This window comes from Homo sapiens, chromosome 13 (genome assembly GCF_000001405.40).
Source record: "Homo sapiens chromosome 13, GRCh38.p14 Primary Assembly".
In the NCBI taxonomy this organism is placed as follows: Eukaryota; Metazoa; Chordata; class Mammalia; order Primates; family Hominidae; genus Homo; species Homo sapiens.
Genome location: NC_000013.11, coordinates 94,890,595 through 94,916,488, shown reverse-complemented (window position 1 = coordinate 94,916,488; position 25,894 = coordinate 94,890,595). Strand labels below are relative to the sequence as shown.

General features: G+C 36.3%; 1 long non-coding RNA gene across 1 annotated transcript in view; it reads right to left on the bottom strand.

Annotated features, from left to right (window-relative positions):
- The window catches only part of LOC101927284 (uncharacterized), a 174,470-nt gene that overhangs the window by 18,922 nt on the left and 129,654 nt on the right, over window positions 1–25,894 (bottom strand). The window contains exon 3 of the long non-coding RNA NR_110754.1: window positions 10,973–11,025. This is a non-coding gene — a long non-coding RNA (uncharacterized LOC101927284). The remainder of the gene's footprint in view (window positions 1–10,972; window positions 11,026–25,894) is intronic.

The following is a 25,894-nucleotide window of genomic DNA, read 5'->3' as shown; positions in this document are numbered from 1 at the left end:
TTTGTTTATTCATCTATCGGTTCATGAACTTTTGAGTTTTTTCTAGTTTTTAATGATTACAAATAAAGATGCTATGACCATTTGTATGCAAGCCTTTCTATGGACATATGTTTTTATTTATCTTCGGTAAATGCTCTAGAATAACATGGCTGGATCATATGATGGTACATGTATAACTTTTTTTTTTTTTTTGAGACAGAGTCTCACTCTGTCACCTGGCTGGAATGCGGTGGCACAATCTCGGCTCACTGCAACCTCTGCCTCCTGGGTTCAAGCGATTCTCCTGCCTCAGCTGCCTGAGTAGCTAGGACTACAGGTGTTTGCCACCATCCCCAGCTATTTTTTGTATTTTTACTAGAGAAGAGGTTTCACCATGTTGGCCAGGATGGTCTTGAACTCCCAACCTCAGTTGATCTTCCCACTTTGCCCTCCCAAAGTTCTGGGATTACAGGCTTGAGCCACCGCACCCAGCCACATGTGTAACTTTTTAAGAAAATTCCTACACGTTTTCCAAAGTGGTTGCAGTATTTTACACTCTTACTAGCAGCGTTTGAGAGTTCCAGTTCCTCCACATTATTGCTGACACTGGTATGATTACTTAAAAAATATTTTAGCCATTCTAAGATGTGTGTAGTGGTATTTCTTTGTGATTCTAGTATGCATACATCTTCTTTAGTGAAATGTCTCTTTGAATAATCGATCTTTTTTTAAAAAAGGGTATTAATATTAGTAGTCTAATATAGCTACTGCCATGTGTAGTATGTCTTCAAGAACAGAAACAAGGCAAGAGTAAAAAGTGAAAAGAAAAATCTTCTTTAAATCAAATGAAAATGTTTTATAGACCTTCAGCCAGAATGTATTCAAGGAACTGGCTTTTTTAGTGCTCTGAATTGAGCGAGGGTAAGTTCTTTTTGAAGATGAGGCCTTAGAAATAAAGGGCTGATTTTTAATGGACATCAACGCTAGAACTCATTGTCTTAAAATGATAGAATATTATGACTGGAGGGGATCTCATTGATGACTAAATTCAGTAGTTATGCATATTTTTTGTTCATGGCACACTTTCAAATATAGGATTGTGGTTATTATATTTAAAGTAGTTAAATACCACTAAATAAGTCAGCAATAATTACAACTGCAATCCCAGCTACAGAATATCAGCATCTTATAGGGTATATACAGAGACCCACACAGAAGCTCACCCTTTGTTCTTGTGTTTTTGATTGAGAAGAGATGTTTACTGTCCTGAGATGTCTCATATACTTGTGAGAGAAAACTATCACAAATCCTAGAAACATGACTTTCTCTGATGGTGGCCTGATGTCATGGAATGCATTTACTCATCCCTGGCCACAAGTTGTGCATCAGTCTCCAATTTTTCACGTGACCCATTCAGCACTACATGCCATGTAAAAGATTCACTTGGAAAATATGAAATGTAAATTGTCACCAAAGTTAAAATTTAACATTACTTGAAATTTGGCAGCATGCCAGGGTGCCCCTGACAATAATTGAGAACCACTAAGTTAGTATAAATATTCCTTTAGTAGATATAATCTTGCCTGAGGTCTTACTGTCTGGTAAATCAGAACTAGAATTCGGATCAGATGCCCAGGCCAGTGTCCTTTCCATTGCATTAGCCTGTTTCTGCCTCAATTGAATTCAATAGTTATTTACAGAAAACACTGCGTATGTATATTGATAAGCATAATAAATCAATAGATTGAAACAACTTTATTTCACATGAACAGAGCAGAAGTTGAGTTATGATTATGCTCTTAGGATCTCACTAGCCTGTGATTGAAATTCTCAGATTTCTTTCTACTCATCTCTTTCATATTATACATTATGTCCTTTGTTATCATCCTTCTGTGTAAACAACTGTCTCTAAAATAATAAATGATCTACTTCTTGGCATTTGTCATTGTCTTTACTCAGTTCCAAGACTCTTCTCGTGCTCTGTGGCACTTGACACTTAGTTCACCTCATCTTAAAACTTTGTGCTCATTAGGCTTCTATGACATTTTATTTTTTATACCCTTAACTCTTTAACTCTTCTTGGCTGGGTTGTCTTCTTACCCTCTGCACCAATCATTGATGTTTCCTATTTCTCTGGCTTTCATTATCTTGTTATTCTTTTATCTCTGCATTTCTTTCAGAGAGTTTATTTCTTTTCACTGTTTCAAACTTCATGTTATTGGGATTACTTCTGAATCCACAGGGCGCTCTTCTGGTGAAAAGATTCATTGTTTTTTCCAATTCTAAAACTTTTTTCTCCTGGAACTCTTATTACACTGCATTGAAGCGTTTATTTATTTATTTATTATTGTTTTGTTTTTATAATTTCAACTTTTATTTTACATTTGGGGGTACATGTGCAGGTTTGTTACATGGGTATATTGCAGAATGCTGTGGTTTAGGGTATGGATCCCGTCATCAAGATAGTGAGCATAGTACCCAATAGGTAGTTTTTCAGCTCACATCCCCCTTTCTCCCCACTCTAGAAGTCCACAGTGTCTATTGTTCCCATCTTTATGTCCATACATAGTCAATGTTTAGCTCACTTTTAAGTGAGAGCGTGTAGTATTTGGTTTTCTGTCCCTGCGTTAATTCACTTAGGATTATGGCCTCCAGCTGCATTCATGTTGCTGCAAAGGACATGATCTTGTTCTTTTCTATAGCTGTACAGTATTCCATGGTATATAGGTACCACATCTTCTTCATCCAATCCACCATTGATGGCACCTTGGTTGATTTTACGTCTTTGCTATTGTGGATAGTGCTGTGATGAGCATGCAGGTGCATGTGTCTTTTTGGTAGAATGATGTATTTTCCTTTGGATATATACCCAGTAATGGGATTACTGGGTCAAATGGTAGTTCTGTTTTACATTCTTTGAGAAATCTCCAAACTGCTTTCCATAGTGGCTGAAATAATTTACATTTCCACCAACAGTGTATAAGCATTCTCTTTTCTCTGCAGCATCATCAGCATCTGTTATTTTTTGACGTTTTATTACCAGCCATTCTGACTGATATGAAAGGGTATCTCATTGTGGCTTTGATTTCCATTTCTCTGATGATTAGTGACATTGAACATTTTTTTCAAATGCTGCTGACCACTTGTATGTCTTCTTTTGGAAAGTGTCTGTTCATGTCCTTTGCCCATTTTTTAATGAACATATTCATTTTTTGCTTATAATTTGTTTAAGTTCCTTATAGATTCTGGACATTAGACCTTTCTCAGATACATAGTTTGCAAATATTTTCTCCAGTTCTATAAGTTATCTGTTTATTCTGTTGATAGTTTCTTTTGTTGTACAAAAGCGCTTTAGTTTAATTAGGTCCAATTTGTCAAATTTTGCTTTTGTTTTCGCAGTTGCTTTTGAAAGAAAGCCAAACATTCTTGAAAGAAAAACCAAAAATTATTTTCCAATGCCAATATTGAGAAGGGTATTTCCTAGGTTTTCTTCTATGATTTTTATAGTTTGAGATCTATCATTTAAATCTTTAATCCTTCTTGAGTTACTTTTTTATGTGGTGAAAAGTAGGGATCTAGTTTTATTCTTCTGCATATGACTAGCCATATGCAGCACCATTTATCAAATAGGGAGTGCTTTTCCCACTGCTTGTTTTTGTCAGCTTTGTCAAAGACCAAATGGTTGTAGGTGTGCAGCTTTAATTTGGGGTTCTCTGTTCTGTTCCATCGGTGTATATGTCTATTTTTAAAAAATCAATACTATGCTCTTTTGGCTACTATAGCCTTATAGTATAGTTTGAAGTCAGGTAGTGTGATGCCTCCAGCTTTGTTCTTTTTGCTGAAGATTGCTTTGGGTACTTGGGCTCTTTTTTGGTTCCATATGAATTTTAAAATAGTTTTTCTAATTCTCTGAAAACTGACTTGGTAGTTTCATAGGAATAACATTGAATCTGTATATTGCTTTGGACAGTGTGGCCATTTTAACAATATTGATTCTTCTAGTCTGTGAGCAGGGGATGCTTTTCCGTTTGTTTCTGTGATCTATGATTTCCTTCAGCAGTGTTTTGTAGTTCTCTTTGTAGAGATTTTTCACCTCCTTGGTTAGCTGTATTCCTACGTATTTTATTTTGTGTGTGTGTGATGATTGTAAATCGAATTGTGTTCTTGATTTAACTCGCAGCTTGAATGTTATTGTTATGTAGAAATGCTACTGATTTTTGTACATTTATTTTGTATCCTGAAACTTTACTGAAGTCATTTATCAGTTTTAGGAGCCTTTTGGCAGTGTCTTTACAGTTTTCTAGGTATAGAATCATATTGTCAGAAAAGACAAATAGTTGACTAATTTTCCTATGTGGATGTCTTTTATTTCTTTCTCTTGCCTGATTGCTCTGGCTAGGACTTCCAGTACTGTGTTGAATAGGAGTGGGCAGAGTGGGTATCCTTGTCTTGTTCCATTCTCAAGGGGAATGGTTCCAGCATTTAACTGTTCAGTATGATGTTGGCTGTGAGTTTGTCACAGATGGCACTTATTTTGAGCTATGTTCCTACAATGCCTAGTTTGTTGAGGGCTTTTATCATGAAGGAATGTTGGATTTTACCAAAACCTCTTTCCACGTCTATTGAGATGATCATATGATTTTACTTTTAATTCTGTCTACAGAATACTTCACCAGGTAATCACAGAATATATATTTTTCTCATCTGCACATGGAACATATTCTAAGATTGCCCACATGCTTGGTCATACAGCAAGTCTCAATAAGTTTTTAAAAAATCAAAATCATACCAAGCATACTCTTGAATCACAGTACAATAAAACTAGAAATGAGTATCAAGAAGAGCTCTCAAAATGATACAAATATATAGAAATTAGGCAACTTTATCCTGAATGACTTTTGGATGAACAATAAAATTAAGGCAGAATTTAAAAATCTTGGAAACGAATTAAAATAGGGACACAACTTACCACAATCTCTGGGATGTAGCTAAAGCAGTGGTAAGAGGAAAGTTTATAGTGCTAAACAGCCTCAATCAAGAAGTTACAAAGATCTCAAATTAACAGTTTAATTTTGAACTTACAGGAATAAGAAAAAAGAATAAACCAATACCAAAGCTAGCAGCAGAAAAAAAATAAAAATTTTAGAAGAACTGAATAAAGTTGAGATGCAAAAATCCACACCAAAGATCAATGAAGCCAAGAGTTGGCTGTTCAAAAGAACAAACAGGATTGATAGACTGCTAACTAGATTAATCAAAAGAGAGAGAGAGAAGAGCCAAATAAATACAATTAGAAATGACTAAGAAGACATTACAACCCATCCCACAGAAATACAAACGATCCTCAGAAACGATTATGAACAACTCTAGGCACACAAATTATAAAATCTAGAGGAAATGGATAAATATTTGGAAACACACAACCTCCCAGGATTGATCAAGGAAGAAAGTGAAAACTTGAACTGACCAGTAACAAGCTCCAACACTGAATCAGTAATACAGAAAACTACCAACCGAAGAAAGCCCTGGACCAGGTAGATTCACAGCCAAATTCTACCAGATGTACAAAGAAGAAGTGGTACTAATCCTACTGAAACTATCCCGAAAAATCAAGGAGGAGAGGCTCTTCCCTAGCTCATTCTATGAAGTCAGCATCAGCCTGGTACCAAAATCTGGCAAGACACAATGAAAAAATAAAACTTCGGGCCAATATCCCTCATGAACATAGACACAAAATCCTCAATAAGATGCTAGCTAACTGAATGTAGCAGCACATCAAAAAGTTAATACACCATGATCAAGTAGGCTTTATTCCTTGGAGGCAAGGCTGGTTCAACATATACTGGAGCTTTAAATCTACTCTCCTCATCCTTTAACTCCTCTTTCATATTCTTCATCTCCTTGGCTCTGCATATCTTATTATTTGGTGATTTCTTCAGTTCTTGCTTCTATTTTTCCTAACCATACCTTCAAAGTGTACAACCTAGAATTTTTTCTGCCTATTCAGCTCCAAAATTGAATCAGTAATAGAGAAGACTACATTTTTCTTTTTTAAGATTTCTATTTGATTCTTCTTTTTAAATGTTTGTTTTGTTTTCATTTATAACCATTTGTATTTCTTTGGAAGAGAGAGAAAAAGAGAGAGAGAGACAGACAGACAGAGAACTTTACTTAAAACCAGGCTGAAAACTGCATTCCAAAACACACAAGGAAAATATTCACACACATACACACACTCTTGAAATTCAACATGTTCAACATTTGGTAGATAAATTTACCCCCAATGAAATGAAAGTGATAGAATAATCCTAAAATGACCTAATAACAAAGAGGGTTAATATTTTCAGAACAGAGAAGAAAAGAATAACACCAATTGTAAAAGAATAAATTATGAACAAAAATGAGCAAATATGAATAAAAAAGATAGACATGCAAAAGAACTAACTATAAATCCTGAAAATGAAAAATATAGCTATTCATTTATTAACTCATTAATTATAATAAATAAATATTATAAACAATATATGTTTATTATATGTTAGGCATTGTTTTAGACAGTGGGAATAAAAAAATGTAAAAAAGAGTAAACATCCTTTGCCTTCAGAGAGATTTCATTCTTGTGAGAGACAAACAGCCAATAAGCAAGATAAACAAGATAAATTGGTGGCTCATGCTTGTAATCACAGCACTTTGGGAGGCTGAGACAGGAGGACTGCTTGAGCCCAAGAGTTTGAGACCCTGCCTCTACACAAACATTAAAAAATTAGCTGGGCATGGTGGTGTGCACCGGTAATCCTAGCTACTCGGGGAATGAGGTGGGAGGATTGCTTGAGCCTGGGAGGTAGAGGCTGTGGTAAGCCGTGATTGCACCACTGCACTCCAGCCTGGATGACAGTGAGATTCTGTCAAAAAAAAAGAAAAAAAAAAACAGATAAAGAAGGAAGATATATAGATGTTTGGTGGTGGCAAGTCCTAATGACAAAAGAAAGGCACAAAATAGGGATAGAGTTTTAAGTATGTCTATGATTAAGATTTTAAATAGGATGGTCAGGAATGCTCTTAATAACATGATGTTTGAATTAAGAAAGGGAAAGAATAAGCCATGTAAATCCCTTGAGGAAAGAATGATCCAGTTATAGGAAACAGCCAATGCAAATGCCGTAAGGCAGGAGCTTGTCTGAAAGATTTTGAGGAATAGCAAGGACAAAAACATGACTGAAATGGTAGGAGGAAGGAGAGATTGAGATGAGGGCCAGATAGTGTAAAGCCTTGTGTGCCATTGTAAGAACTTTGGCTTTTACTCTGCGAGAGATGGTAAGCCATTGGAGGGTTTTAGCAGAACAGTGACGCGACATGGCTTCTGTTTTATCAGGATCATTGTGTTGGGAATAGATGAAAGGGGGTTAAGGGTAGAAGCAGGGAGATCAGCTAGAAGTCTGTTGCCACAATCCAAGTAAAAAACAATGACAGCTCATACCAGGTTGGTAGCAGTGGAAGTCATGAGAATATTTTGGATTTTGATATTCATTCCAGATAGAGATGACAGGAATTGTTGATGAGTTTAAAGTGAGATGTGAAATAAAAAGAGGCAAGAGTAATTTACATCTTTTACCTGTGTATCTAGAAAATTAGCGTAGGTATTTACTGAGTTGGAAAGCATGTGGGAGACTCAGGCTTGTGGAGGAATATCAGGAGCACAGTTTTCTATTTCATTTATTAATTTACTTATATTTTTGAGACAGGATCTAGCTCTGTCACCCAGGCCGACACAGCTCACTGTAACTTTGAACTCCTGGGCTCAAGGGATTCTTCCACTTCAGCCTCTTAATTAGCTATGACCATAGACAAAAGCCACCATGCCTGGCTAACTTTTAAACTTCTTGGCAGATATGAGGTCTTTTTATTGCCCAGGGTGGTCTCCAACTCCTGGCCTCAGGCAATCCTCCTTCCTTGGCCTCCCAAAGTGCTGGGATTACAGGCATGAGCGGCTGTGTCTGGCCTCAGTTTTCAATTTGAGATACCTATTAAGCATTCCAGAGGAGATGCCCAAGATGGTAGTTTGATAAACAAATCTGGAATTCAGAAAAGAGGCCAGGATGGAGATACAAATTGTGGAGTAACCAGCATATAACTGTACTTAAAGCCATAAAAAACTGAAAAAAAACCTGTCACCAACCTACGATTCTATAACCAGAAATATAACCATTCAGAAATAAAAGAGAAATACAAATTTTCACAGGTCAACAAAAAATGGGGAGTTCATCAGCAGCAGCTCTGCCCTGTAAGAAATGTTAAAAGAAGTTCTTCAGGGAAAAGGACGTATATCAGAAATTCAGATCTACATCAAGCAATGAAGACTATAGTACAGCAGAAGGAAAAAAATAAAAGTAAAATAAAATCTTCATTCTTAATTGATCTAAAAGATAACTGTTTGTTTAAAGGAATAATAGTAATAATGTGTTGAGGGATAATACATACGATTAGGTGAAAGAAAGACAGCAGTGTCATATCAGGTAGGAGAGAGGAATTGGGAATAAGTTAAGCTACACTACATGTGAAATGGCATACAGTTGGCCCTTTGTATCCATGGATTGAATGAACTGCAGATTTAAAATATTCAGAAAAAGCAATTCCACAGAGTTCTCCAAACCAAAACCTGAATTTGCCACACATCAAGTTCTCCATTCAGTTCACATAAATGAATTGATGTGTAGCCATTGTATTAGGTATTATGGATAATCTAGAGATTATTTAAAGTATACAGGAGGATGTGCATAGATTATTTGCAAATATTATGCCATTTTATATCAGGGACTAAGCATCCATGGATTTTGGTATCCTTTGATCACCATGGAGAAACCAATCCTCCATAGTGATCAAGGTCAATATTCACAGTGCTAAATCGTATTGATAGTATGTACCTTGATATGATGTGACAAAAATGGCACTTTACCTGTGTTGAATTCCTCCCTCAAAACATATAACCCCAGACTACCTGTGCAAAAAACATCAGACAAATCCAAGTTGAGGGACACTTTACAAACTGCCTGACTAATAATCCTCAAAACTGTCAAGATCATCAAAAACAAGGAAAGTCTGAGAAATTGTCACAGCCAAGAGGAACCTAAGAACACAGAAGAACTAAGTCTACTACAGTATCCTCAATGGGATCCTATGGCAACAACAAAAAGACATTAGGTAAAAACTGAGGCAATCTGAATAAAGTATGGACTTTAGTTAATAAAATGTACTGATATTGTCTCATTAGTTGTGACAAATATCCCATACTAATGTCAGATGTTAATCATAGGGGAAGCTGGGTGTGGAGGTATATGCGAACTCTTTGTGTTTTCTTTGTAATATTTCTGCAAGTCTAAAACTATTCTAAAAGTAAAAGTTTTTTAGAAAGAATTAAAAGTTCAGTTACATAAAAAGCACAAAGAAAGGTAAATACAACAAATATAATCATTTATAGAGAATGTACAGAATTAATATAAAATTGCAATCCAGATGCATGCCGCATATAAGAGACACATCTAAAATAACAACAAAATATCAAAAGGCTAAAAATAAATAAAAATTCAAAAAGAAAGCTTCTGTAGCAATATTACTATCAGATAAAACACAGTTTAAGATAGGAAGCATTAATAGTGATATAATAATAAACAAAGATAGAATGAAAAACTTGCTGATGTAACAATTATAAATTTCTGTGAACCTAGGAAAACATAGAGCAAAAACTGAAAAACATAAGGAAAACAAACAAATCCATAAGTACATAAATCTATAATATCTATACATTATGTATGGATCAAATTACGTTATGTATGGATAACAAATTAGAAACATAAATGAGATTTGAACCCCATAATTAACAGTGTAATCAAAAAACAACTTGAGGTTATTAGATAATTTACTTTTTTTTTGCAAACGTACATATAACATTTAGCAAAGTTGACTAAGCACTAGATCACAAAGGAAGTATCAATAAATTTTTTTAAATTATCATCTTAAAGCTTATTTTTCCTGACCACAAAGAATTAAAATGGAAAACAATAAAATACTGTAAAATTAAAACCCGTGTGTTTAAAAACTAAAAACAAATTATTAAATAATTTATGGCTAAAGAGAAAATTACAGTTTAAATAAGAAAATATATAGAACTAAGTGACAATAAAAACTACTATGTTTCAAAATTTGTGGGATACAGCTAAATTGGTACTTAGAGGAAAATGTATAATCTTAACTAAAAAACATGACACTAAAAATAAGCAGGCATGTTCACCATCTGGGTGGCAGATTAATTCGTACTTCCAACCTCAGCACCATGCCATATACCTTTGTAACAAACCTGTATGTGTACCTCCTAATTCTAAAATAAAAGTGGGAAAAAAAAGCAAGTAAAAATTTCTGGCACAGTATACATTGTGAACACTTCATAAATGTTAGTGATTATTATTATTGGCTAAAAAAACAAGTAAAAATTCAGCTCAAGAATACAGAAAAGAGTAACTCCCTCAAAAAAGGAAACAAATAATAAGGATATGTGGAGAAATTGATTAAATAGAAAATAAAAGCATAGATGCTATCAAAAGAAAATATGTTTTGTTTGGAAGATCTGCAAAATAAAAACAAACCATTGGCCAAATTAATTGAGACAAAAAGAAAAAAAGAGAAAAGAAAAGACAGGCATAAATAAACAAATTATTCTAGGAACAAAGAGATGGTCCATAACTACAGTGAGTAGGGATTTTAAAAATTATAAGAGAATATTGTAAGTTGCTTCATGCCACTAAAGTTGAACACTTAGCTGAGATGGAAAATATTCTAGAAAAAAATTGACTAAAAGCGTAGAAAAACTGTACAAACCAACAGCAATTTTTAAAAAGAAATTAATCTGTGGTTAAAAAGAATACTCTCCTCTAAAAGGCACCTGGACCAGAAAACTTTATAGAAGAAAAGAACCAATATTTTAGATAAAAATATTCTTTACCTTAAAATCTGGACGAACAGAAAAAGAGCAGCATTTTATGAGACGGTTATAACCTAGATATCAAACCAGACAAAGGATTGTATAGTGTTAAAAACTATATACCTATTTTGCTTATAGATAAACATTCAATGTTTCTAAATAAGTTATAACCAATATAAAAATTCATATAAAGTATAAACAAACCAAATGCAACAAATGGCCATTCATGATGATCAAGTACAATTCATTTCAAAAATGTAAAATTGGTTCAACCTAAGAAAATCTAGCAATGTAATTTATACATAAATGTATTAGAATCATAATGATGTCTATACATATATAAAGAACATGATATAATTTAATATTTATGAAATATGAAATTATTGGCAAAGTAGGAAAAGAAAGAAACCTCCTTTATGTGAAATGGTATTTTCCAAAACATAGACCAAACATCTTAATTATAAAGTTGAGGAGTGGTCCCATTAAAGTCAGGAATTTGGCAATATTGTCCCACTATGTGCACAACTTTTATCATTGTTATAGAGGTCCAGTCAATGCCAAAAGAAAAGGAAAGAAAAGTAAATAAAAGGTGTAAAGATTGGAAAGGAAGAGACAAAAATCGTCTATATTTGCATATTGTATTGCTATCCTCATAGAAAATTTAAGGAAATCTTCAGAAAAAAATGATTAGAATTAGTTAGAATTTAAAAAATTGCTAGATACAGTCATCATACACAAAGTAAACGTTTCTGTAGAGCAGCAATAACCAATTATAAAACGTAATTAAAAAAACAGACCATTCTCAATAACTAAACTACTGAGTACCCAGAGATAATTTAATAAGATGTAAGAAATTTTACGGAGAAAATCACAAAATGTAATCGAAGGGCACAAAAAAATAGCTGAATAAATAAAGAGATTCGACATTCAGGTGAAAAGTTTCAATAGCATAAAGATAGTGATTCTTCTCAAATTAGTGTTTTAATTAAATGTAATTTCTGTCACAATCCTAATAGGATTTTTGTGAAAGTTGACAGAATAATTCCTATATTCACAGGTAAATATATAAGACGTTATGAGCACAGGGATTAGTAACTCTTTTATTCACTGATTTACCTCCAAGCACATGAAAAGAAGTGCATGACATACACTAGTTGCTCAATAAATATTTGTGAAATAAATGAATGGATACCCAAGAGTGCAAGGTAAATTCTGATGCAGAACCAGACTTATGCCACTAGTTATTAGGTCTTATTATAAAGCCATAGAAATTAAGAGGGTATAGTATTAGTGTAGAGATAGACAAATGAATCAGTGGAAAGGATGGAGAATTCACAAACAGAGGGAAATAAATGTAGAAATTTGCAATTCAAAGGTGCTGAGACAATTGGTTTTCCATATAAAAAATATAAAAGCTCATTCCTAATTCATACCTTACATTATGAACCTAGATATTTCATGACCTAATTGTGAAAAAATATTAAATATTAAATTATAGAGGAATAATTTTATGACCTCAAGGAAGAGAAAGATTTATTAAATAAGATATTTAAAAAACCCCAGAAATCAGGTGAAAAAATGGCAAAATTGACTATATAGAAGTTAGAACCTTCTGAATCACAAAAGAAAAAAGTTAAAAGAAAAGCCAGAAAAAGAGATAAATGATTTTCGAAATATGTATAAAGCAAATAATTAGTATCCTGCATATATAAAGAACTCATGCACATTGATAATAAACTCAATTTTTAAAACCAGGTCAACAATATGATCAGGCAATTTACTGAAAAGAAAGCCTGAATATCCAGTTGAAGTCTACTTCTTAATTTCCAAATATCTGAGGATCTCGTATTTAACTTCTTGTGAGTTTTAGCTTTATTTTTCTGTTGTCAGAGAACGTATTATGTGTGATTTCAGTTATTAGAAATGTACTGGGGTGTAATTTGCTCAGAATGAATGACTAATTGCACCGCTTAGATCAGGATATTCCTTATATTTTAGTAACTCAGTGAATATTTGTTGAGAGAATTAATGCAAACACTCAAAATCATTGATCTCCTTAACACCCTTTCTCAGGACATTGTTTTTTGATAAGACAAGAAATAAAATTTAAAAATCTGCTGCGAAGATGAAAAATTATTAACATTTGTTCATTTTAGGTGGTATTTGGTATTTGTTATCTTTAACTTTTTTGGCATTTTTTGGTATTTATATTTCTAGTACTTACTTTTTAAGTGAATTTGCTATTTAATGGATAAGTCAGATCAACTGAGTAAACATTCCTTAGCATTTTGAAATAAAAGCAAATATGGCTGATGTAATCAGCTGTAAGGAAGAGCACTATCATTGTGTTGGAAATTACCTTGATGCAGTGATAGTCTTCCAGTACTCTAGTGGGTGAATGACCCCAGAGGCCATGCACTGAAAAGGCTTGAAAACCAAATTAAGACATTCAAATTACACTTCTTAAAACATATAGCAAGAAGCAAGAGGAAATAGATGGGGTATGTTAACAAGGTTAGGATAGGTGCAAGTGAGACTGAAGGACCATGCTGTTTGAGTCTTGTGTTATACAGTGGGCATACGCCATGTCTCTCTAGGCGACCACCTCCTCTTATGAGGACCAGAGTCAAAGCTGGGCCAGGGATTGCCTAGGGCTAAAGCACTCCCTTGGAGAAACGCAGGGCAACGGTGCTGACCAATAGCTGGAACTTGCCACTCAGTTTAACAAAAAGCACTGGGTTTCATTTTCTTCAGTGTTGGGCAGAGAACACTTGGGGCCAGAAGGAGTGTCACCAAAGAGTGAGCATGGTGTTAACCACTAGAGAAGAGTATCCACAATGTTATAGAAGAGTTGCTTCTCATTTGCAGCAAGTTTCAGATAGTATTTCAATTTTTAAAATTGCATGAAAGATGTTAAAATAATGGAATACCCAACTAGTAAGTCAGGTTTAACCAGGTACATCCTGATGTTGTGCAGTCTCCTTATTGCATCTAAGGAAATTTTGATAATCTTACTTACGCCCCCTTTAAAGGTGCAAAAAGATGGAAAAGATGAATTACAGAAGGCTGTTTCACTAATTAGCTATATATCTTTGCGGCATGGAAGAAAAATTTTAATGTTGCAAGTAATCTTTCACACTCTCATGGGGAAAGCTTATCGAAGTCCAAAACCACGTTGGTAGAGCACAGTGAAGGCCGGTTTATTCAGTCTCCTCATTATGCTTTGGAGCAATAATAAAACCTACTAAGCAAAAATGCTGATGGGATATGGGTTTCTTTACTGTCATAAGGCAAGCAGCACATCAACTTTCATTGTTGGAATGTGAGGCCATTCTTGATGTTTATCCCTTTTTACACAAGCAAATCATATAAATTCACAATCACAAAGCCTCCTTTTCCCACACAGTGCACCTTGATTCTGGTATCGGAAAAATATGATTATGATAAGAAGAAAAAGACTTGCCCCAAAGAAGATTTAAAGATAAGCACACTCCATAATCCTTAGAGTTACTGCAAAACATGCCTTCCATGCATCTACCCCACCACCAAAGCCTGCCTGATACCCCGGCATCATACAATTCACTTGATCTGCCTCTTTCCAAAACCTTTGATAGCTATAGGTAGGGTATGTGGTGGGCTAGTGGAGGGGAGAGCAAAGTGAGGGAACCTCTATGGCTTCCTTCTGCTCCTTTCCCTTAAGAAGTGATATAGCTAGTAAGAAAATTGGTCCTGATGCTAAATTTAATGTGCATTCCTTATAAGAAGGGCTCCTAAGGCATCAGAGAGATGTATGCATGTTCCCTGTTATACTAATCCATGTGTTCAACAGTCCATTTCAATGATGGGAGAGTAATACATTCTGAGAAGCATTTCCTGACAAGTGGAAAAAGATGGAGGCCACAAGATATTATGAACTGAATGCCTGCATCCTTCCACAATTCATATGTTGAAATCCTAACCCCCAATGGGATGGGATTAGGAGGTGGGCTTTGAGAGGTGATTGTGTCATGAGGGTGGAGCCCTCATGAATGAGGTTGTTAGTGCCCTTATAAAAGCGACCCCAGAGAGCTCTCTTGACCTCTTTCTGCCATGTGAAGATACCATGAGAAACCAGCAGCCCTCAACCTGGAAGAGGTCCGTCAACAGAAACCCACCATGCTGGCACCCTGATCTTTGACTTCCAGCCTCCAGAACTGTGAACAATGAATGGTTGTTGTCTATAAGCTACCCAGTCTGTGTGCCTTGTTATAGCAGCCCGGACTGACTAAGACACAGGATACTACAGAAATGCTCTATGATCTATTGTAATGCTGTTTGCATGCTCAAGCTTATGTTTCGTTTTTGTTTTAGCCAATCAGAAATAAGGAGGAATTCCTACAATGTTACAGTGCAAAGACAGAAGAACTTTATATTCCAAAGGTTATGAAGCATCAATGTGCTCAAATACCTATGGAATTTCAACTGTCCCTATTCTTATGGAAGCCCAGTGCCACGTAAATATGTATGGATTTGTCCTATAATGCTGCTTATCAGAGTTTTAAGAAAAACCATGCAAAATTGAATTGTATTTTCTTAGCTAATCATGTTATACTGATTTTAAAATATATTAGTCTATACCAATGGGCAGCAAACATTTTTTATAAAAGACAGTATTTTGGGCTTTGTGAGCCATATGATCTTGTCATAACTACTCAACTCTGATTTTCTGTAGTGTGGAAGTTGCCATAGACAATATGCTTTAAAAACATGAGCAGGACTGTGTTCCAATAAAATATTATTTACAGAAGCAGGTGGTGAGCCAGATTTGGTCTACGGGCCTTAGCATGCTGATCTCTGGTTTATACAATAGTTGTAACCAAGACTCTTTTTTTTTTTTTTTTTTTTTTGAGATGAAGTCTTGCTCTGTCACCAGGCTGTAGTGCTTTGGTGCGATCTCGGCTCACTGCAACCTCCGCCTCCCAGGTTCAAGAGATTCTCCTGCCTCAGCCTCCTGAGTAGCTGGGACTACAGGTGTGTACCACTATGCCCAGCTAATTTTTGTATTTTTTAGTAGAGACAGGGTTTCACCATCTTGGCCAGGATGGTCTCGATCTCTTGACCTTGTGATCCGCCCACCTCAGCCTCCCAAAGTGCTGGGATTACAGGGGTGAGCCACCATGCCTGGCCATAACCCAGACTCTTAACATAGACAAAGGAGGCTCTGCATAGCCATAGGCCAGGTGCAATGCATTATCTGCTCAGGGTTAGCTTTGCCACTAAACAAGCTGACTCTTAATCATGCTTCTGGTCCAGCTTCAGATGTGTACCTTAGAGCCTAGGAGGAAGATGCTCTTCTATTTGAGTCTTTGCGTGTTTGTTCAGAACATAGGAATCCACTGGGCTAACTGCTCATAATCCATTAGTGCTATGGTCTGAATGTTGATATCTCTTACAAATTCATAGTTTGGAACCTAATACCCAATATGATAATATTAAAAGGTGGGGCCTTTTGGGAAGTGATTAAATCATGAGGACTCTCCACTTGTGAATGGGATTAGTGTCCTAATAAAAGAGGTTGAAGGGAGTTGCCTTCCCGCTTCCACTATGTGAAAACACAGCAACAAGAAGCCATCTATTAAGCAGAGACCGTGCACTTACTACATGTTGCATCTGCGGGTGCCTTGATCTTGGACTTCTCAGTCTCCAGAACTGTGAACAGTAATTTTGTTATTTATAAATTATCCAGTCTAAGGTATTTTGTTTTAGCAGTCTGAACAGTCTGAGACAATGAGGTATAGTGGGGACACTGTAAATCTGGCTTTCATTTGAGTTCTGGCTCAGCAACTTATGAAATATCATAAGTTGAACAAATGTATCTCTCCAAGCCTACTTTCTTTTCTTAAAAATGTTTATAAAAATATTTCTGGGAGAATCTTATTATATAAAAATATTTCTGGGAGGTTAGAATTAGAAATGACAAGAATGGGTGCAGTGGCTCACGCTGGTAATCCCAGCACTTTGGGAGGTGGAGGTGGGTGGATCACTTGAGGCCAGGAGTTTGAGACCAGCCTGGCCAACATGGTGAAACCCCATCTCTACTAAAAATATAAAAATTATCCAGGTGTGGTGGTGCACACCTGTAAACCCAGCTACTTGGGAGGCTGAGGCAAGAGAATTGTCTGAACCCGGGAGGCAGAGGTTGCAGTGAGCTGAGATCGCACTGCTGCACTCCAGCTTGAACAACAGAGTGAGACTGTCCCAAAAAAAAAAAAAAAAAGGAATTAGAAATGACATACCAAAAAGGTAACATACTGTAGGAACAATTGTAAGAGCACAGTTTCACCAAGTTCACCCAGATATCTTAAATACATGTTCCATGGTAGTTCACTCACATTTTCATAATGCCTTCTAGATAACAGTGACTAAACTTGTTGGAATAAAAACCAATATGATTATGCTCTTAAATTGCAACTCCAAATGAGAAAAAAAATACATCTTTTATGGATGCAATTGTGGATCCCTAACAGAACTTCTTCCTTGTGGAATTAATATTAGAAAAATACTGTATAAAACTTCAAGGGAGGAAAAAAATTAAAAACTTTTAAAGCAGAAAAGATGCAAATTCCTTGAGGACTTGTACACCTGAATTAGAGATTGTTACTGAAAGCATCCAATAAATATTTTCCAGGTGAAAAGCAAATAAAATGAAAGGCTGTCAATAAATAAAAATCCATTTACATGAGTATGGGGCAATACAGGTAGCAGGATTCGGCTAGCGATTCTCTGAAAATGTAAAACAGTGAGCATAGACATCCTTGGCAATTTGTAGGTCTCATTCAAGCCCAAATCACCCTGAGTTTTGTAAGTAAACTGGTGCAGCTGCCAGCAGGTGAGCTGGTGACTGTGTAACACACTGGCAGAGAATCATGCATGTTACAGAACATGATGTTAGGTGGGTTGAACCAAGGACAGATGCTTTGCAACAAGCTTTTCACAATTTAGAAAGGAAATCGTTCATAGGTATAAAAGAAGGCAACTATAAGATTCTGTTATGAAATTTGTATCTCTAATTTTAAAACAAAAAAAACGCAAAATAGACTGAGCAAGTTTTCTGGTAAATAGGAAAAGTTAATATTTAGAAAACTGTTTCATCAAATTATCTTAAATCCACAAATAGAGGTCTCCTTGTCTTCTTTAAAGACTGGTTTGCTTTTACTTACTTACTTGTATGTGTTTGCTGAACTCTGTCCCTGTCACTGCATTTCTAACAGTGAATTAACAAGAATGTTGCTATTTGGACTCCATTCTGCCCAAGACATTTGCTCAGGATGCTGCTTCTAAAGTTTCCTTCATTGTCATCAGATGTTCTATATCTAAAGCAGTGTTTCTCCATCTGGGGTCCTCGGATGCTTGAAGGTGTATTCTTTCAGGTCTGGGAGAACTCTATAACAATATTGTAGCTTTGAGTTTTTATTTTGATAATAATCAACTGTACTATAAAATCAAAATAGTTTAAAAAGAGAAAAATGGTGGAAGAATTGGATTATCACATAGGGCATGGTAGGCATTATAGGCCAAACTTAAAACAAAAAGTCTGTGTTGTGGCAATTAGCATATCAGCATATTTTCTTTCTTTCTTTCCTTTTTTTCTTTTCTTTTCTTTTTCTTTTTTTTTTTTTTTGAGACAGAGTCTCTCTCTGTTGCCCAGGCCGGAGTGCAATGGCGTGATCTTGGCTCACTGCAGCCTCTGCCTCCCGGATTCAAGTGATTCTCCTGCCTCAGCCTCCCGAGTATCTGGGAATACAGATGCCCGCCACCATGTCTGGCTGATTTTGTATTTTTAGTAGAGACAGGCTTTTGCCATGTTGGCCAGGCTGGTCTCAAACTCCTGACCTCAGGTGATCCACCTGCCTCGGCCTCTTAAAGTGCTGGAACTTGAGCCACCATGCCTGGCCGGCAATCAGCATATTTTCATATCACAAGTTTGCAATGGCGTTTTAGCAAAATAACATCACACTTTAATGTTGTTAAGTGAAATTTCATTATTTTGTATTATACTTGATTTATAACAAGATCATAGGCATTAAGAAGTTATGCCTAATTTTATGTTTGCATATTTTAAGTAACATTAATAAACAAGGTTATATATCAAAATTTAATGATATGGTTTTCCTTTTAGAAGAGGCCTCTACATATCTAAGCTTGAAAAGTACTAATCTAAATTCTCTTCAACAAGCTGGTGTATTTTCCATTAAAGAGTACCGTGATAAAGTTAGTCAAAAAGTATGCCTGCTATGGAAGTTTCTCAAAAAAATTGAAAAGAACTACCATATGAGCCAGCAATCCCACTTTTGTATATATGTCCAAGAGAATTGATGTCAAGATCTTGAAGAAATGTCTGCACTCCCATGTCCACTGCAGCATTACTCACAGTAGCCAAGATACAGAAACAATTTAAATGTCGTTCGAAAGACAAATGGATAAAGAAAATGTGGCACATACATATAATAGAGTATTATCCAGCCTTTGAAAAGAGGAAAATCCTGCCATTCGTGACAACGTGGATAAATTTAGAGGACATTATGTTGAGTGAAATAAGCCAGACACAGAAGGACAAATACTACATGATAATACACATATGGGGAATCCAGAACATTTGAACTCATGGTAGCAGAGAGTAGAATGGTTGGTTGCTGTGGCTGGGGGGAGGGAGAAGGAGAGGTATTGGTCCAAGTGTACAAAGTTTCTGTTATGCAAATGAATAAGTGCTAGAGATCTACTGAGTGACACAGTGACTAGAGTAAGCAATGCTGTATTCCATACTTTAAAATTTGCTAAGATAGTAAATCTTATGTTAAGTGTTCTCATCACACACACAAAGTAATAATCACAAATAAAGAGGGCTGGGGGAACTTTTTGGAGGTGATGGATAAATTTATGGCATATATTGAAGTGATGGTTTAATGGGTGTGTCCTCATCTCCAACTCAGGTTGTATACATTAAATATGTATGGCTGTTTGTGTAACAATCAGTAAAGTGGTTAAAAAAAAAAAAAAAGAAAACCTACCTGTCTAGATCCTAAGAAGGGGCTACTTACTGGATAATTTGGTCACGTGATGCTATGGTCTATTAAGGGATCCATGTCATAGGGTCTTCACTCCTGGGAGACCCAAGGAGTAAAAAGCCAAAGTAACATTTGGCAGCTCTTTCTAGGTGCCCTGTGGCTCCAGCCCCCTGCTTCCCACATGCAGCATCTTCATCACTCTGGATCTATCTTAATTTCCTGTCTTCCTCGGCTCAGTGGTTTCTGATCTTTTGTGTATGAGGTCTTTTCTTCAAGGTTAAAACATTACACCCACTAATCAAAAGATCATTGTACTTTCAGTGGAGAAAATATATAATGACAAAAATACCATAAATTCAATAATGCTATTAAATACATTTTAGAATTTTAATCATCATAATAGCACTTGTATGTTTTAAAAAAATGGCCTTATATACATGAATATTTCTCATTCTGCCTCCTCAGAAGGCTTACTCTACATATGGATGGAAAGACCTCTTGAAATAACTCGTGGCCCACCAAGGGCCCAAGGCCCACAGGTTGGAATTGCTGTTGTAGCTGTTTACAATGTCAGCATAGAAAACAAATTCCCTCCAAGGCAGACAATCACCGTGGTGCTTCTTGACATCAGTAACAGCTACAAGAAGGCGGCACCATCAGATAGTGGGATAATTGACCTGGAAATGACTTATATTAAGTCACCTGAATTGTGCTTACGTGTATGTGTGTATGTATGTGTGCGTATGTACGTACATATGTCAGACGTATATACTATATATGCTAATATATGTATACATATGTTAGATATATATTATGTATCATATGTACATATGTTAAATTAATACATATAAATATATATCTATATACACACACACATAGATTCTACCATTCATTTGCAGGCCTGAAACAGAGAAATTTTTTGGCATGATTTTGGCAGATTTCCTTGTTTGTGAAACAGACACTAAAAGAGAGGACTTCAGGAAGCAGAAAACAAATTATTCATTTTTTAAAACCTCTTGCCCTTCCCAATGTTGCTACCTTGTAATGTACAAGAAACAAAACTCAGAGTGGTGACACGATATCCTTAAAAAAAAGCTCCTGGTGCTAGAAAATTGGGCAGCCAATTTTAGCAAGTGGCTGAATTCCAGAGCGTTGACTGTTGTCTACTGAAAGAGTAAAAATGTTATCACCTGTGTAAGCACTGCTGACCGATGTATATTCAAAAGCAAATTCAAACAGTTGCACCCACTTCTCAGGCATCAGGGAAATCAGATGAAACTAGTGTCTCAGAGATATGATATCAATGGAAACTTTTTCTTTCTCTCTCTTTTTTTCTTTCTCTCTCTTTTTTTCTTTTTTTCCTTTTTTTCCCAGTGGAGTAGGAGAGGGAAGGAAGAATTGCATTAAAATGTAATGTTTGTCAATGACTGTGATTTAAAAAAAAAAAAAAAAAGGAGAAGAAGCAGCAGGAAGAAAGGGAAAACTTCCCAGCCCACTGCTAGCTAAGGTGTGCAGCTATCTGAATATATTGGTAATGCGAGGGGCTGATTAGTCTGGAAGGCTGCCTACAGGTTAGCAGGCCTCATTTCAAATCTCTGACAGCAATATGTGCCGTTTCATGCTTCATCCTCATTCCCCATGTTCAACACAAACCGGGGTCACTCTATATATGGAAATCACTGTCTTCAGGGCGAAAAAATTAAAAAAGGTGAGATTGCCGCTTTAACCTCACTGGCCTCAGAAAATATGTTTTAGTCTGATACATTATACTAGTAGGAATTATTTATCAAGAAGATACAAGCTTGATATTTCAGAAATAATGAGATGTTCTGGTTTTGCAGCTGAAATTTTATGGTCCACAGAGCATCAGCTATGAATCCAGGGGAATGAAGTAAACTTGCAATGAATGATATACACCAAGCAGCCAAAGAAAAATGGCTGTGGAAAGGGTAATATGAAAGTTATAACACAGTACAAAGCTTTCTAGAGCTAAAGTTCCTTTGTTGCTAAGAGAGGAAATATATTTTAAGGAATGATAAAAAGAATCCACACATAAAAATCTCTCAGACTTTCCTTCCCGGTATTTTATTTGGCAAAGGACCTATGGGGTGAGAAAACTGTACTAAACATTACAGTCAGTCTATGGTTTACATGAAATATTTAAAAATTCACAGCAAAATAATCTGAAAAGTCTCATGACCTGTCACCGTTGTGGAGCATCCTGACATTAATGTGGCAGCTGGAAGAAGAAAAAAAAATGAATAAACACACGATATTGCTTTTTGGAAATGTAGATTTTGCTTACATTTTTCTTGACCAAATTGCCATAGTGATAAAAGGCCATTTGCCTTACATTTCCAGGACTTTAAAAGAATGCCCAGGAAATGCCAGGAAAATACTAACCTAGAAAAGTGACAAGCCGCTTTCCACCACCATACTTTGGTGTGTATTGTCCTTAGCTGGTCCTTCTCCAGCCCACAGCTGAATTCTGATCTTTCCCTGTTCTAGATCCACTTCCTAAGATCTTTGAGACCTATCACAGTTCCACATCACACAAAGTCAGGCCTGGCTGCACCCCAAGGAGCAGCAATTTGAAATCATCCACTGGTGATTCCAGTCCCCCTTGGGATATTTAGCCAACAAGTCTAATCATGAGGACTCTTCATTAGAGCACACAGCTTTGAAAAGCATGCTTCCCAGTACAGAATATTAGAAAATCAACATCAATAATTTAAAACCCTTTGCAAACATGATTACCCAAAGTGGTAGGCTTAAATCAACCTCCTGCAGACCTGTGTGCATTTTCACTGTCAGTCAAGGTCACCAAAAAGCATTAATTAAATACTTGAGGGCAAGAGGTGCTGTGTTAGGCTGTGTGCTGGGTATCAAGCAAATAGAATAATTTCCGTCCACATTTTCTCTGCTGACAAATGGAGATAACAACACTTACTTCACAGGGTTGTTCTGAGAATGAAATAATTTAATACATGCAGAGCACTCAGGATAGGGCCTGACACATTTTGTGCAATAGGGTAAAAAGCCTTGTTAAGTGTTGTCATAACACATGACAAAGATGGCTCTTTGATGCCAATATCTATTATTGCTTAGTAATAGAATACCTGATTTTCAACCGACCACGTGGCCACATGGAATCAGGACTATTTTTCCCAGCTTCTTTTGCAGCTAGATATGGCCATGTGGGGGAACAATAGAAAGTGTTGTGTACAGCTTCTAGGAAGTATTCTTACAGTGTCCCTTACTTCGTCCTGTTGTATAGAATGTGGCTGTTATGGCCGGAGCTCAAGCAGCTATTTTGGACCCTCAGCTACATGCCGAGAAAAGCAGAGCATAGGAGGAGCCTGGGACCAAACTGCCTTACTATCCCTGGACTTTCCATCTTGGGAGTTCTTTCATATTAGAGAAATACATTTCTATTTGTTTTAAGCTACTGTTATTTTAGGTTTGCCTTACCTGCAGCAAAATCAATCCTAAAGGACATATCCCTTTTGAAATTAAATGCCCTCTGAATTTTTTTTTAAGTGGAAAAAAAAAGCTTGCTGAAGAGAGCACTGGAGTCCCAGGCATACCTGCTGTGGCAGATATCTCAAGAAGATAAGGCCATGGCTGAGACAGACACTAATATGTAACATATATAGCAAATATTTAACAGGTCAGGTATTTATAAGTCAAGAAAAAGCCTTGTGTTTCATTTTAACCTTTCTTCAAAAAAAAAAAAAGAAAAACCACTTGGGCGTGGTCCTAACCCTGGGTACAATGAGTGCCAAGTAGAAAGGGATAGCAGCCTTCTAGAAAAATTGAGACAACTTCCACGCCGGAAAATATTGTTCTTAAATATGTGAAGAGGTAGAAGTCTATGGTTTGTAAATGACCTTTATGCAATTTGATTATTACCCAGATACATTTTAATCACAAATTTTTGTCGTGTACTTTGGGTTGCCAGATGATTTTGTTAAAAGAAAAGAACCTTAAGAAATTAAATTTAACAGAGTTTAATTGAGCAAAGAATGATTCACAAATTGGGCAGCCCTCAAACCAGGATAGGTTCAGAAAGACTTCAGTGCAGCGACATGGTGGAAGATTTGTGGATGGAAAAAGAAAAGTGAGTACAGAAAACAGAAGCCAGGTACAGAAACAGCTGACTGGTTACACCTTGGTGTTTGCCTTCTTTGAAGATGGTTTGAACGGTTGGTCACTTTGATTGGCTGAAACTCAATGATTGGCACAAGAGAAGGTTACAGTCTGTTTACACATCCAGTTACATTGCAGTTCACTATGTACGGAGAAACCTTTAGGCCGAGCTTAATATATGTAAGGAGGCAGCTTGAAGCTAAACTTTTTACCAGTTTCCATAAATACACCAGACAAACTTGATTTTAAAATGTAAGCATGTTTTCTATTTTATCATATATGATTTATTTTATACTATCAGGATTTTACTGCTGATCAGTTACATATCTTACATTTTACATTTGATCATATAACTTTTTTGAAAATTTTATTCTTTACAAAAATTATATTTTGCTCCCAGCTACAGACAATGTTGGCTGCTTACCCAATATCCATTCCCTTTCCTTCTTTGCAAACTCCAATTTTGTTCAGGATGATAGATTCCGTTAAGTCAAGTAGTATTCGGCTTCCCCAGGCCCATGAAGATAAGGGTGGCCATGTGACACAGTTTTGCCCAATTAGAAGTGAGTGCATGTCTGATGGGAAGGGGCAGGAAATCTTTTGCTTTCCTGAAAAAAGAAGACAGATGTGACTGACCCTGCCTTAGATGTTAATTTGGTGGCTGGAGCTGCAGGAACCATTTGCCTGAGGAGATGGACAGAAGGACAAAAGCCCACAGGCTAGAGAAGTGGAGTGGAAAGGCAGAAAGAGCCTGGTTTTCTGATACTATCATTGAGGAGATGAATGAACACTCTCAGTTACCTACTTCCACTTCCTTTTCATGGATAAGAACAGCCCTTTACTTGTTTAAGCCAATGTTAGTTGGGTTTTTGTTACTTGCAGTCAAAGACTGATTCCTAAACTGATATAGTCCCAAGCAAATAAAATAAAGAAAAGACCCCCAAAATTCCTTTCTTAATTACTCCACACCCAATATGTTCAAAGATGAAAATTTTTAATGATTTTCGTAAAAGATTTGGAACTTACCACATGTATTTCTACTGCTACCCCCTGGATCCATAAAATCAACGTAAATAATTTTTGTTAAGAAAGTTTGATAATATGTAACGAAGAGAAATTGAAGAGGTTCATAAGTGGATGAGGAAACTGAAAAACATTTCCGGATGAAAGGCAGTGAATGGAGGATTATTGACCAAGACACAAAGCAGAGGTGGACGCACAAAGCAAGCTGCGTAGATCATGCCTGGCTGAGAAGTACTGCCTGTCTACACCGAGCTCCTATCCAGCCTTCCCGTGGCCTAATTCTTAAATATGAATCAAGAATCACCAGGTATCTGAAGAACACCTAACAAACAAAGTTAAGCAAACAGAAAAACTGATCGGGAAAAAAGCGAGGATAATTTTAGGAACAGAAGAAAAAAAAACCCTGAGAAACAAATCCGGGGAAATTCTTGGAAAGATTGAAGAAGGTACTACTCCCAGAAAGTTGAAGTAATGTATCATGAAAATGAATAATTAGAGAACTCTTGAAAATGAAACAGTTGGCCGGGCGCGGTGGCTGACGCCTGTAATCCCAGCACTTTGGGAGGCCGAGGCGGGCGGATCACGAGGTCAGGGTATCGAGACCATCCTGGCTAACATGGTGAAACCCCGTCTCTACTAAAAATACAAAAAAACAAATTAGCCGGGCGTGGTGGTGGGCGCCTGTAGTCCCAGCTACTCGGGAGGCTGAGGCAGGAGAATGGCGTGA